This window comes from Homo sapiens, chromosome 5 (genome assembly GCF_000001405.40).
Source record: "Homo sapiens chromosome 5, GRCh38.p14 Primary Assembly".
In the NCBI taxonomy this organism is placed as follows: domain Eukaryota; kingdom Metazoa; phylum Chordata; class Mammalia; order Primates; family Hominidae; genus Homo; species Homo sapiens.
This window is the reverse complement of record NC_000005.10, coordinates 126,581,614-126,595,250: the sequence shown is the minus strand read 5'-3', so window position 1 is coordinate 126,595,250 and position 13,637 is coordinate 126,581,614. Positions and strand designations below refer to the sequence as shown.

The window sequence follows — 13,637 nt, the reverse complement described above, 5'->3', positions numbered from 1 at the left end:
CTATTTCAGCAGCTCTCAGGGCCTTGGGCTCATCCCGAGTCCCGGGCTCAGTATGTGGCGCCTTCCTCGCGCGCTGTGTGTGCACGCTGCAAAGACCAGCAAGCTCTCTGGACCTTGGAGCAGGCCTGCCGCCTTCATGTCCACTCTCCTCATCAATCAGCCCCAGTATGCGTGGCTGAAAGAGCTGGGGCTCCGCGAGGAAAACGAGGGCGTGTATAATGGAAGCTGGGGAGGCCGGGGAGAGGTACGCGGGCGCTCAAGAAATCTCTGCAGCCGCCGGGGCTCGCTCGAGGAGGCCGGGCGGGCACTGACCTACCGACTCCCCGCTGGCGCTGGATGCGGTAGTAGCATGGGAGATTTTGAAGCTCCACAGTAAAAGTTTTCTCGTGTAGGGTGCCTTTAAAACAAAAACTTAGATTTTAGGTCCTTGTGTGCTATGCAGAATCGACGTCATTTTGGAGCTGTAGGGGCTAAACTTCCCGCGCATATTTAAAACATTATGGTCTACCGGGCGCGGTGGCTCACCCCTGTAATCCCAGCACTTTGGGAGGCCTAGGCGGGCGGATCACCTGAGGTAGCGAGTTCAAGACCAGCCTGACCGACATGGAGAAACCTTGTCTCTACTAAAAAAAATACAAAATAGCCGGGCGTGGTGGCGCATGCCTGTAATCCCAGCTACTAGGGAGGCTGAGGCAGGAGAATCGCTTGAACCCGGGAGGTGGAGGTCGTAGTGAGCCGAGATCGTGCCATTGCACTCCAGCCTGAGCAACAAGAGCGAAATTCCGTCTCAAAAAAAAAAAAAAAAAAAAAAATTAAAACCTTATGGTCTTGGGATCTATGGTCTTGTGAGAAATGTGGCACACTGAGCGGTGCAACTGATCTTAATTTAGAGCTTAACTCTGGCTCTTCAGCTGTGACGTGCACCGCAGGTAACGTTCTTCAGTGTAGTTTTAAGTTATCTTCCTTCCTGAATTCTTTGGGAGTTTGCAAGCTTGGACGTGCCGAAATCTTGCCATGTTGTACGTTGGGCTGTGAACTCCTTTGAGGACTGGATTTTCAGCATTTCTCCATTGCCCAGGGCTTAACACCGCGCCTGATACCCATTACTGCTCAAAACAATGTTTTATAGAATACAATGGAAAGGTAAGGTTATTATCGCCCAGATTTTTTTTTAAAAGAAAGTTTTTTATAGGAGGATGTTATGTAACAGTTAACAAACTTTGTTGGACGTTGTATATTATATAATGAACCTGCCTTGGTAGAGGGAACACGTCTTTTGGTAATCAGTGGCTGTAGGAGATACAGATAATTTTAATTGCTCCTCAGACCTCGGTGTTTCATCCTGATTTCCGTGTGGTATCTGATCATTAGGCTCTTGGAGGCCTTTTTAGCTGTGCCTTGATTTTCCCTTTCATTGTTGACCTGAGACCTCTCCAGTTGGTGTGGACACGGGACTTTCCAACAGTTTTCCTGCCTTGGCCATTTCATCTCTGAGCAGAGGGTGGGCAGAGTAAGGAAGAGAAGAAATAACTAAAACTAGTCAGTTTGGTCTGTTATTAATGGAAAAAGAGACAAAATAACTGCTTATGTTAAGGCTTTTGTTTATATGCCTAATATTGAGATGTCAGAGGCGAGTTTTGCAGAAAGGTAGTTTCTAATGTTTAAGTCAGAAATGAAAGACAACCTCTGTAGAGTGGTTTATATGTAACAGAAGTTAACCTAAGCTTTTTGAGTTTGGGTATTATATCATTTTTTCCTCTCTTGTTTTTCTTCCCCGTTTGGTCTATTCCCTTACTTCAAAAGGGATTACGTTTTCTATACATGATCATCATCCTTTTGTTTTAAGGTTATTACGACCTATTGCCCTGCTAACAACGAGCCAATAGCAAGAGTCCGACAGGTAAGAGTGTGTGTGTGTGTGTGTGTGTGTGTGTGTGTGTGTTTAATTCAAATTATACACAAGGAGTTTGTGCAGGCTTTCTTTAGAGGCAGAAGCCAGTTAGGCAGGTCAAGAATAATATAAAATCACAAATGAAGAGAATAATGTGTTTATTTTTCATTTGTCATTTAGGACTGTCTGGGGGAGACTGTCCTCTCTTGGGTGGGGGCGTGAAAAGGAAAGAACCATAGAAAAGGTGAAGCGTAGAAAGATTAGGCAGGGGGCCATTTAAGGCAGTGCTTCTGAAGTACCTGAGGATTTTGTTAGAATGAAGCTTCTGATTTCCGAAGTCTGGGTTGGAGCTCAAGGTTCTGCATTTCTAATATGCCTTACATGTTCCCAGATGAAGCTGACAGATTTTGCTTTGAAAAGCAAGGTTTTAAAGCATAGTTGGATACCAACCTGTTTTACCGGGTTCTAGCTAGTTTTTGGAAGTATAGACTGTGGGAATCATTCTCAGCCATAAATGTTAGGGAACCCTAGAGATTTCCCAACTCTTTTCTGAAAATATTTTTGTGTTCTAGAAGATCATCATCATTTCTCTTTATTTCCCCCTTTCTGTCCCCCTAATTCTTAATTTAGGCCAGTGTGGCAGACTATGAAGAAACTGTAAAGAAAGCAAGAGAAGCATGGAAAATCTGGGCAGATGTAAGTATGGCCTTTGTTTCTAGAATTCAGAAAAGATCACTTTGCCTATTGTAACCAATGAGATACATAAACATCTGATAAGCAGGTCAGTGCCGCCTTGTTAAAATGTGAGCTCCTTGGGGGCTGTGATACTGTACTAGGGCTCCTGCTGTTTTGGAAACACCTCTGCCATATTTCTAGGGTAGTGCCTTTTTTGTACTTGCCATTCATTGAATGGATAAATTTAAATGAATTAAAACTTTGTGCTGGTATAGTATAAACTTGAGCTGTGAACACTATTCTTCACTGAAATTACTTGAATTTATAATTAAATAGAAAATGAATAGAAGATCTATGCCAGAAATATTTGTTTGCTCCTCCTCTATCCCCCTGCCAGATTTGTCTGGGAGTATCTCAGCAATAGGTCAGCATTCCTGGTTTAAAGAACAACAGCAGATCGCACCTGGTGGCTCATGCTTGTGATCCCACCACTTCAGGAGGCTGAGGCGGGTGGATCATCTGAGGTCAGGAGTTCGAGACCAGCCTGGCCAACATGGTGAAACCCTGTCTCTAGTAAAAATACAAAAATTAGCCGAATGTGGTGGCGCGTGTAATCCAGCCTACTCAGGAGGCTGAGGCAGGAGAATTGCTTGAGCTTGGGAGGCGGAGGCTGCAGTGAGCCAAGATAGCATCACTGCACTCCATCCAGCCTGGGCGACAGAGTGAGACTCCATCTCAAAAAAAAAAAAAAAAAAAAGAGCAGTGGCAGCATCCCTTTCTCAGGGCCAGAGGCTCATGTTCCTTGACTGTCTAATCAGGCTGTGAGGCAGAGTCAGCCTCCTTGGTCTCTGAGTCTCCACCATTGGTTAAATGAGCAAATGTGGGAACTGTGACTGGTGCTGGGCTGGCCACACTGACTTGTCACTAGGTGGGAGCTAGGCTCCTGAGAAGGGGAGAGTAAAGGCGAACTAGGATAGCCTGATTTCCCAACCTTTCCACTACCCCCATCCTCAGTGTGCTTTGTCTTGTAAAAAGAAAAGACTGGGGGTGCCTGTCTCCTGGGAGGGTTAAATGAGTTAATCATTTAAAGTGCTTACTGGAGAGCCTGGCACAGGAAAAGCCTCAATACATTTGAGTTAAACCCTGTGCTGTTGGGTGTGGGACTGCTGAGGGACTACTGAGCTGCAGTATTTTCTCTGAGTGAGTGATTGCAAGGGGGGTTGGGTGGGGTTGGGGTGGATTGCAGAGTAGCAGCCTGTCCAACAGAGCCCTGGGTTGGATGAAGCTTTTTTTTTTTATCAGCCAAGATACGTCTTTGTGTAAAGCATGAAGCACATCTTTCCTCTACTTTAATTATGGATAGAAGTATGGCCTAGGGTTCCATTATACACAATCAAAAGTATCCTTGGGCAGAAAAATACCACTTCCACAAGTAAACAGTGTGCTAGGTAAAGTTCACCCTACCTGGATAGAGAATACTGTCCAAAACAGTGTCCTTCATTGTTTTAAAAACTTACTTGTATTTATTTCTGATCATAAAAGTAATAAATATTCTTTTTTTTTAGAAAAGATTGATGCTGTAAATAAGATAAACAAATTTAGTCCCCTTACCCCAACCTCTGCAATGCAAAATGTTCATTAGGTTTAGGTTTTGGTGCATTTCCTTCCAGTCTTTCATGTATTTATTTCATAGTTGTGATTATTGTACATCCATATATACATGGTGTGTATAAAATTTTGTGACCTGTGATGCTTGCATTCCATACCATCCTAAAGTTATTGCTTTTTTTTTTTTTTTTTAAGACAGGGTCTGGCTCTGTCACCCAGGCTGGAGTGCAGTGGCCCAATCTTGGCTCACTGTAACCTCTGCCTTCTGGGCCTGGGATCCTCCCATCTCAGCCTCCCAAGTGGCTGGGATTACACGTACACACCACCATGCCTGGCTAATTTTTTTGTATTTTTTGTAGAGGTGGGGTTTCACCATATTGCCCAGGGCGGTCTCGAACTCCTAAGTTCAAACGATCTGCCCTCTTTGGCCTCCCAAAGTGCTGGGATTACAGGCGTGAACCACCAGGCCCAGCTGCATAATTTTTTTTAAATTGTTGTTTTCCTATACATACATACTTTTTTCTTTTGAGACGGAGTCTCACTCTGTCACTCTGCAGTGGTGTGATCTCAGCTCACTGCAACCTCTGCCTTTCGGGTTCAAGTGATTCTCCTGCCTCAGTCTCCCAAGTAGCTGAAACTACAGGTGTGCGCCACCAGGCCTGGCTAATTTTTTTAAAAAATATATTCTCCAATTTAAAACTTTTAATTAAAAAGTAAACTTTAACATCAAAAATGCAAACTTGGAGAAGACAGAAAAGATCACACACAAGGCTGTCACTTCACACTTGGAAGGTTGCACAGCGGCCAGGCAGAGGGGCTCCTCACTTCCCAGACAGGGCAGCGGCCGGGCAGAGGCGCTCCTCACTTCCCAGACAGGGCGGTGGCCGGGCAGAGGCGCTCTTCACTTCCCAGACAGGGTGGCGGCCGGGCAGAGGCGCTCTTCACTTTCCAGACGGGGTGGCAGCTGGGCAGAGGTGCTCCTCACTTCCCAGACAGTGGCAGCTGGGCAGAGGCGCTCTTCACTTTCCAGACGGGGCGGCAGCTGGGCAGAGGCACTCCTCACTTCCCAGACAGTGGGCAGCTGGGCAGAGGCGCTCCTCACTTTCCAGATGGGGCAGCAGCTGGGCAGAGGCACTCCTCGCTTCCCAGACATTGGGCAGCTGGGCAGAGGTGCTCCTCACTTCCCAGACAGTGGGCAGCTGGGCAGAGGCGCTTCTTACTTCCCAGATGGGGCGGCAGCTGGGCAGAGGTCCTCCTCACTTCCCAGATGGTGGGCAGCCGAGCAGAGGCGCTCCTCACTTCCCAGTCAGTTGGGTGGCTGGGCAGAGGCACTCCTCACTTCCCAGATGGTGGGGCGGCCGGGCAGTGGCGCTCCTCACATCCCAGATGGGGCGGTGGCTGGGCAGGGCGCTCCTCACTTCCCAGACGGAGTGGCAGGCCTGGCTAATTTTTGTATTGTTAGTAGAGACAGGGTTTCACCATACTGGCCAGGTTGGTCTCGAACTCCTGAACTCGTGATCCACCCACCTTGGCCTCCCAAAGTGTTTGGATTACAGGCGTTAGCCACTTCACCTGGCCTTCCTATACATATATACTTAAAAAAAACAAAAACAAAAAAATAGACCAGGCACGATGGCTCACGCCTGTAATCCCAGCACTTTGGGAGGCCAAGTGGGCGGATCACCTGAGGTTGGGAGTTCGAGACCAGCCTGACCAACATGGAGAAACCCCGTTTCTACTAAAAATACAAAATTAGCCAGGCATGGTGGTGCGCGCCTGTAACCCCAGCTACTTGGGAGGCTGAGGCAGGAGAATCACTTGAACCTGGGAGGCCGACCTTGCAGTGAGCGGAGATTGAGCCATTGCACCCCAGCCTGGGCAACAAGAGCAAAACTCTGTCTCAAAGGAAAAAAGAAATTAATAGACTTTTATTTTTTACAGCAGTTTTAAATTTACAGAAAAACGAGTAGAAAGTACAGAATTCCCATTACTCCCTCATTCCTCTTCCCAAGTTTCCTTTTCTTCTTTTTTTTTTTTAAGACAGAGTCGCCCAGGCTAGTGTACAGTGGCATGCTCACAGCTCACGGCTCACTGCAGCTTTGACCTCCTGGGCTCAAGCAATCCTCCCACCTCAGCCTCCTTGGTAACTAGGACTACAGGCATGTTCCTCCACACCTGGCTAATTTTTGTATTTTTTGTAGAGATGAGGTTTTGCTCTGTTGCCTAGGCTGGTCTCAGACTCCTGGGCTCACGCAATTTACCCACCTCAACCTCCCAAAGTGCTGGGATTACAGGCATGAGCCACCATGCCTGTAATAGGCCATTTCCCCTGTTATTAACATTTTGCATTAGTATGTCATATTTTGTTACAACTGATGAGCCAATGTTCATGTGTTATTATAAACTAAAGTACACAATTTACATGAGGGTTCACTCTTTGCATATCCTGTTTTGAATGCTAGTGCAACTTAACATGTTGTCTTTTGACTAGAAACGTCTATTGTATGTGTCTATTTATCTAGGGTAAATACAAACATTTGAAAAAAAAAGAATTTATGTGAATTCAGGGTCTTGTCTTTTCCTGAACTGGTTTTTATTCTGAGACTGAGTCTTGCTCTTGCCTAGGCTGGAGTGCACTGGCATGATCTTGGCTCACTGCAACCTCTGCCTCCTAGACTCAAGTGATTCTCCTGCCTCATCTTCCTGAGTAGCCGGGACTACAGGCATGAGCCACCATGCCCGGCTAATGTTTTTTTTTTGTATTTTTTAGTAGAGAACAGGGTTTCACCATGTTGGCCAGGTTGGTCTTGAACTCCTGACCTCAAGTGATCTGCCCACCTCTGCCTCCCAAAGTACAGGCATGAGCCACCACACCTGGAATGAACTGGTTTTTAAATCTATCTTTGCCCTAGGGAGTGCCAGCTGACATTATGATCTTTCTTAAATATTGGGCTGTACTTTTTTTGTTGCTATTTTCACATTCAGGATCTCATTTGGCAGTCAACTCTTACCCACCATGCCAGCCTCTGCACCTAACATCCTTTCTCATACTTCTGGTGCTTTTTAGACCTCCCAACAAATAGAATGGGGGTGCTACGTGGGAACAGGTTGCTTTCCTGGGTAATAGTAGAGTCAGCTGGGGATCCTACTTGTTTGATTTTGAGTTAAGCAATTGAGTTCAAGGTTTAGGGAAGAGGCAGAGTTTTTCCTAATTGTGCTCTGGGGCTCCTCCCTGGGGCAGGGACTTAGAGAGGCTCGGTAAGAACAGACCAAAGCTTGACCCCCTTCTCGTCACAGAAGCTTTCCCATCTCGATCCTCCCTCACGTGAGGCTTCTCTGCTTGGCCCTCATCCATTTGGCTGACCTTGACTGTGTTAGGACAAACCACTGTTTCATGTAGTTCATTTGAGTTAATTCTAGAATTTTTCTTTTTCTTTTTTTTTTTGAGACAGAGTTTTGCTCTTGTTGCCCAGGCTGGAGTGCAATGGTGCCATCTCGGCTCACTGCAAGCCCTGCCTCCCCGGTTCAAGCGATTCTCCTACCTCAGCCTACCAAGTAGCTGGGATTACAGGTGCCCGCCACCAATTTTTTAAATATTTTTAGCAGAGATGGGGTTTCACCACGTTGGCCAGGCTGGTTTTGAATTCCTGACCGCAAGCCATCCACCCGCCTTGGCCTCCCAAAGTGCTAGGATTACAGGCATGAGCCACTGTGACTGGCCAATTCTAGAATTTTTCAAAGGGAACATTTTTCTTTAAGGAAAATGGAAACAAAGTGAAACATATGGAAAGGTAGTTTATAGAAATTGATTTCTTTCTAAGGAATAGACTTGCTGCTTTCTTCCATGAGCCAGTTTCAGCACAGAATGTAGCCCATTTCTGCCGTCTGCATCCCCATGTGTCCTCATTTTCCCTCCCATCTCTGGTGAGAAAGAGTAGGAGTCTCTCTGTTCTTGAAGACAGGGAACTGTTTTTTTTTTTCTTTCTTTTTTCTTTTTTTTGAGACAGTCTTACTCTGTCACCCAGGCTGGAGTGCAGTGGTGCGATCTCGGCACACTGCAACCTCTGCCTCCTGGGTTCAAGTGATTCTCCTGCCTCAATCTCCTGAGTAGCTGGGATTACAGGTACCAAGCGTGGCTAATTTTTGTATTTTTAGTAGAGACAGGGTCTCACCATGTTGGCCAAGCTGGTCTTGAACTCCTGATCTCAAATGATCCACCTGCCTCGGCCTCCCAAAGTGCTGGGAATACAGGCGTGGAACCACAGCCCCCGGCCATAATTTTCCAAAACCACTTTCTCTTGCTTTTCAGCCTTTGCATATGCTCTGTACCCCTCTAACCCCATGCTTTTCCTCCACTTTGCCTACCTCTTCACAACACCTGGCATGCTTTAGGTCTTAGCCCTAAACTTCTAAACTTGTAAAAAGCCTACTTCAGGTTGCTCCAGTTGTGAAATCTAGCTCCCCTTTCATGGCATTTGCCACATTAGATTGTAATTGCCTGTTTCTTGCCTTTATCACCCCCATGGACTGTCAGCTCTATAGAGGGCAAGAATTGTAACTGCCTCATTTGCAGTAGAATATCCAGGGATTAGCACAGTATCTGGCACATAGAACATATGCAATAATTATTTGTTGAAAGACTGACTGAATAAAATGTGTCCAGAATGGGAGGTAAAAGGCCATGTATACTGGCCATTCTGAGTTGAAATTAACCAACTTAACTAAGCTTATAAATGTGCTGACTAAATTCAATTGAAACATCATTAAACCCACACCATGTGCTAGGAAATGTATAGGTTATGTGCTGATTGATATAATGCTACAGGTTTTTGTTTCCTGTTTCCAAAAGTGTGCATATGTTGTGAAAATGACAGACATTGCAAACATATAAATTGTGGATGAAAATCTGTTATAATTTCATTCCCCACAAAAAACCATTGTGAACAGCTTGGTATATGTTGCTCCAAATTTAAGCAAAAGTTTACTTACCATAAGTGTTTTCTTGTTTTGTATTATTCTATTATAGCTTTTCAATGTTTTCCCATAAAAATCGACCTTATTTTATCACTGTTCCGTAATTAACCAATCATGTGCTGATGGACAGTTGGTTTCTTTTTTTCTTTACTAGAAACAGCACTGCAATGAATATCATTGTACCTATACTTTTGCATACTTATGTATATAAGCTCAGTTTCTGTAAGCAGAGCTGCTTAGTTAAAGGGTAGGAATGTCATGCCTGTAATCCCAGCACTTTGGGAGGCCGAGGCAGGCGGATTACCTGGGATCAGGAGTTCGAGACCAGCCTGACCAACATGGTGAAACCCCATCTCTGCTAAAAATACAGAAAATTAGCCGGGCGTGGTGGCAGGCGCCTGTAATGCCAGCTACTTGGGAGGCTGAGGCAGGAGAATCACTTGAACCCAGGAGGCAGAGGTTGCACTGAGCCGAGATCGCGCCACTGCACTCAAGCCTGGGCGTGACAGAGCGAGACCCCGTCTCAAAAAATAAATAGATAAAACAAAGGGTAGGAATGTTTTAAATGTTAATAGATTGCAAAGTGACCATCCAGAGAAGCTGTACTAAGAGACAGTGATACACTTGGGGAGAAGAGAGAGCAAGGAAGAACCTTGAGCTCACAGCCAAGCTCTGTGAGGCAAGTGTGAGCAGTGCTGTGATTAGGAGCAGTGGGAGTTAGGGGGAGGGTGTGATTGGCTTCTGCCTGGGGGAAGGTTTCATGGAGGGGAATGTTCCTTTTACCTGTACTTTATTATTTTTTTTGAGACAGAATTTCACTCTTGTCATCCAGGCCGGAGTGCAATGGCGGGATCTCAGCTCCCTGCAACCTCCCCCTCCGGGGTTCAAGTGATTCTCCTGCTTCAGCCTCCCAAGTAGCTGGGATTACAGGCACCTGCCACCATGCCCGGCTAATTTTTGTATTTTTAGTAAAGATGGGGTTTCACCATGTTGGCCAGGCTCGTCTTGAACTCCTGACCCCAAGTGATCCACCTGCCTCAGCTTCTCAAGTGCTGGGATTATAGACGTGAGCCACCGCGCCCAGCCTTAGCTGTACTTTGAAGGAGAGGCAGAATTGGGAAGAACTTGATGGGAGAGAGGGAGTGATGGTCACAGTTGGAGAAATTGTGTCTCATTCATAAATCACATCTCAAACTTTATGTGACATAAGCTGTGCTCTTTACCCCCAAAACCTGATGTTTCCCTTCAAGTCTTCTTCATCCCAGTAATTATACTTCATCTACCTACCTATTTAAGCCAGAGAGCGGGAAGTTATCCTGAGTTCTTTAATTCTCTTCATTTCCTGCATCTGTGTGTCCTGTCAATTCTACTCCCAAAACAGACCGTGAATCCACTTGCTGTTTCCCTTGTTACCACTGCAATCTTTTTTTTTTTTTTTTTTTTGAGATGGAGTGTCACTTTGTTGCCCAGGCTGGAGTGCAATGGCGTGATCTCAGCTCACTGCAACCTCTGCCTCCTGGGTTCAAGCGATTCTCCTGCCTCAGCCTCCTGACTAGCTGGGATTACAGGCGCACACCACCATGCCCAGCTAATTTTTGTATTTTTAGTAGAGACGGGGTTTCACCATGTTGCCCAGGCTGGTCTCGAACTCCTGACCTTGTGATCTGCCCGCCTCAGCCTCCCAAAGTGTTGGGATTACAGGTGTGAGCCACCACGCCCAGCCTCCTGCCATCCTTTTAGGTAAAGTAACTTACCCATTTCCCCTCCAATCTTGCTGTTTTTCTCTGTCTCAGCTTCCTTTTTATTTCCTTTGTCTTTAAAACCCTGATGGCAATTTGTAATTATTTGTTGGCAATTTGTAATTATTTGTTGCCTTTTCTTCTCCTCTGTGCCTTCCAGTAGATATTTGCTCCATGAATGCCTTGCTTCTTATTTTGGCTCCAGTGCCTGGCCATATCACAGTTTTGATGTGATCAAAAGTCTTCTTTGATATGATTGTAATTTGTTCTTTTACAGCACACATCCAATACTGTGTTATAAACATGAATTTATGCTTTGAATCAGACACAAAAATTGCATTCTTTTCTTAGATTCCTGCTCCAAAACGAGGAGAAATAGTAAGACAGATTGGCGATGCCTTGCGGGAGAAGATCCAAGTACTAGGAAGCTTGGTAAAGTATTTTTGTAGTATATACACAATTCTTTGAGTGGACAATAAGGCTGTCATGCTTTTCTATATATAAAATTGTGAGGTTTTTTTTTTTTGAGATGGAGTCTTGCTGTCACCCAGGCTGGAGTGCAGTGGTAAAATCTTGGCTCACTGCAGCCTCTGCCTCCCATGTTCCAGCAATTCCCCTGCCTGAGCCTCCCGAGTAGCTGGGATTACAGGCTTGTGCCACCACGGCTGGCTAATTTTTTGTATTTTTAAAGTAGACATGGGGTTTCATCATGTTGGCCAGGCTGGTCTTGAACTCCTAACCTCAGGTGATCCTGCCTGCCTCGGCCTCTCAAAGTGCTGGGATTATAGGCATGGGCCACCACACTTGGCTAGAAGAGTTTTTAAGAAAAGTAATTTATATTATATTATATTTTATTATTTATTTATTTATTTATTTATTTTTGAGATGGAGTCTTGCTCTTATTGCCCAGGCTGGAGTGCAATGGCAGGATCTTGGCTCACTGCAACCTCCCCCTCCTGGGTTCAAGCGATTCTCCTGCCTCAGCCTCCCGAGTAGCTGGGATTACAGGTGTGCACCACCATGCCCGGCTGATTTTTGTATTTTTAGTAGAGACAAAGTTTCACCATGTTGGCCAGGCTGGTCTTGAACTCCTGACCTCAGGTGATCCGCCCGCCTTGGCCTCCCAAAGTGCTGGGATTATAGGCATGAGCCACTGTGCCCGGTTGTACTTTATATATTTTAAAAATTCTTTCCTTAGAGGAAAGATTAACAAGGTAGACAGGAAAAAGTGAAGGCAATTGTTGTGTTTTAAAATTCTTTGGAAAATGAAACAGACTTTCTTCAGTTTATTACATTTACAAAACATGTTTTGCTTCCCCCTTTCTTTAATTTAATGTTTATAATGTGAATTCTGTTGGAAAAATTCTGCTTGTCGTTTTATATTTCTAGGTGTCTTTGGAGATGGGGAAAATCTTAGTGGAAGGTGTGGGTGAAGTTCAGGAGTATGTGGATATCTGTGACTATGCTGTTGGTTTATCAAGGATGATTGGAGGACCTATCTTGCCTTCTGAAAGTAAGCAATGAAATTAGTTAAGCTGAGTTTTGTACTCTGATATACAGAGCTCCAAAAAAAATAAAATACTCTGGCTATTGACTGTGCAAAAGAGAAATTTCAAGTGGCATAAATATGTGAAAATATCCTCAATCTTTCAAAGAAATGCAAATTAAAACAGATGAAAATGTTAGATCAAGAACCTTTTTGTTTTAAAGATAAAACTTAATGTTGGCAAGTCCACGGGTAAGACACTTTTAACTCATCTGTAAAACGATTTGGAAATATACCCAAAGAGCTCTAACTTTAAAGAGCCCAGTTTTAAGAATCTAAGTAAATAATCTGAAATAAGACAGAAGTTATGTTTAAAGAAGTTCATTGTGGCATCAATAAAAAACATTAGAAATGACCTAAATGTCGAATCATAAGGGGAAAAAATCTAAGCCAATTTTGGTAGACTATTAGCATGTACTAAAAATAATGTTTGTGAAGGTTGTCTTCCCCTAACCCACACTTTTACGGGAGGATTTTATTTACTTATTTTTAAATTATACTAATGTTAATTTTTTTTGAAGAAACGATAGATTCATATCAGAAAATAAGAAAGCAATAAAAGGTTGAAGGATTAAAAGTTTCCCTCCTACCCCCATGACTAAGCCATAGTACCCCATGGAAGTAGTGAATGCTTTCAATTTCTTGTGTGTCTTTTTTATATTTTGTAGGATCTTGCTGTGTTGTTCAGGCTGGTCTCAAACTTCTCTCCTCAAGTGATCCTCCCCTTCAGCCTCCCGAGTAGCTGGGATTATAGGCATGAGCCACCTTCCTAGGCCCTTGTGTATCTTTTTAGAGCACGTACAGCCAAATATGTAGCAAACTATACATTTTTTTTTTTTTGAGATGGAGTCTCGCTCTGTTGCCCAGGCTGGAGTGCAGTGGCGCGATCTTGGCTCACTGCAACCTCCACCTCCCGGGTTCAAGCGATTCTTCTGCCTCAGACTCCTGAGTAGCTGGGATTACAGGTGTGCACCATCACACCCGGCTAATTTTTGTATTTTTGGTAGAGATGGGGTTTCACCATCCTGGCCAGGCTGCTCTTGAACTCCTCACCTCATGATCCACCCACCTTGGCCTCCCAGAGTGCTGGGATTACAGGCGTGAGCCACTGTGCCCGGCCGCAAACTGTACGTTCTGTTTTATACTTTTATATTCAATAATATATCTTGGAAATTGTTTTTTTGTTTTCTTTTTTTGAGACAGG

At 44.6% G+C, this 13,637-nt stretch overlaps 1 protein-coding gene across 3 annotated transcripts in view; it reads left to right on the top strand.

The window, feature by feature from the left end:
- The window catches only part of ALDH7A1 (aldehyde dehydrogenase 7 family member A1), a 53,379-nt gene continuing 39,773 nt past the window's right edge, over positions 32 to 13,637 (top strand). For all 3 annotated transcript variants that reach the window (NM_001202404.2, NM_001182.5, NM_001201377.2), the window contains exons 1-5: positions 32 to 244; positions 1,847 to 1,900; positions 2,522 to 2,587; positions 11,239 to 11,319; positions 12,277 to 12,400. In NM_001202404.2, coding sequence (NP_001189333.2) covers positions 53 to 244; positions 1,847 to 1,900; positions 2,522 to 2,587; positions 11,239 to 11,319; positions 12,277 to 12,400 — 517 coding nt within the window. In that variant the 5' untranslated portion in view covers positions 32 to 52. The remainder of the gene's footprint in view (positions 245 to 1,846; positions 1,901 to 2,521; positions 2,588 to 11,238; positions 11,320 to 12,276; positions 12,401 to 13,637) is intronic.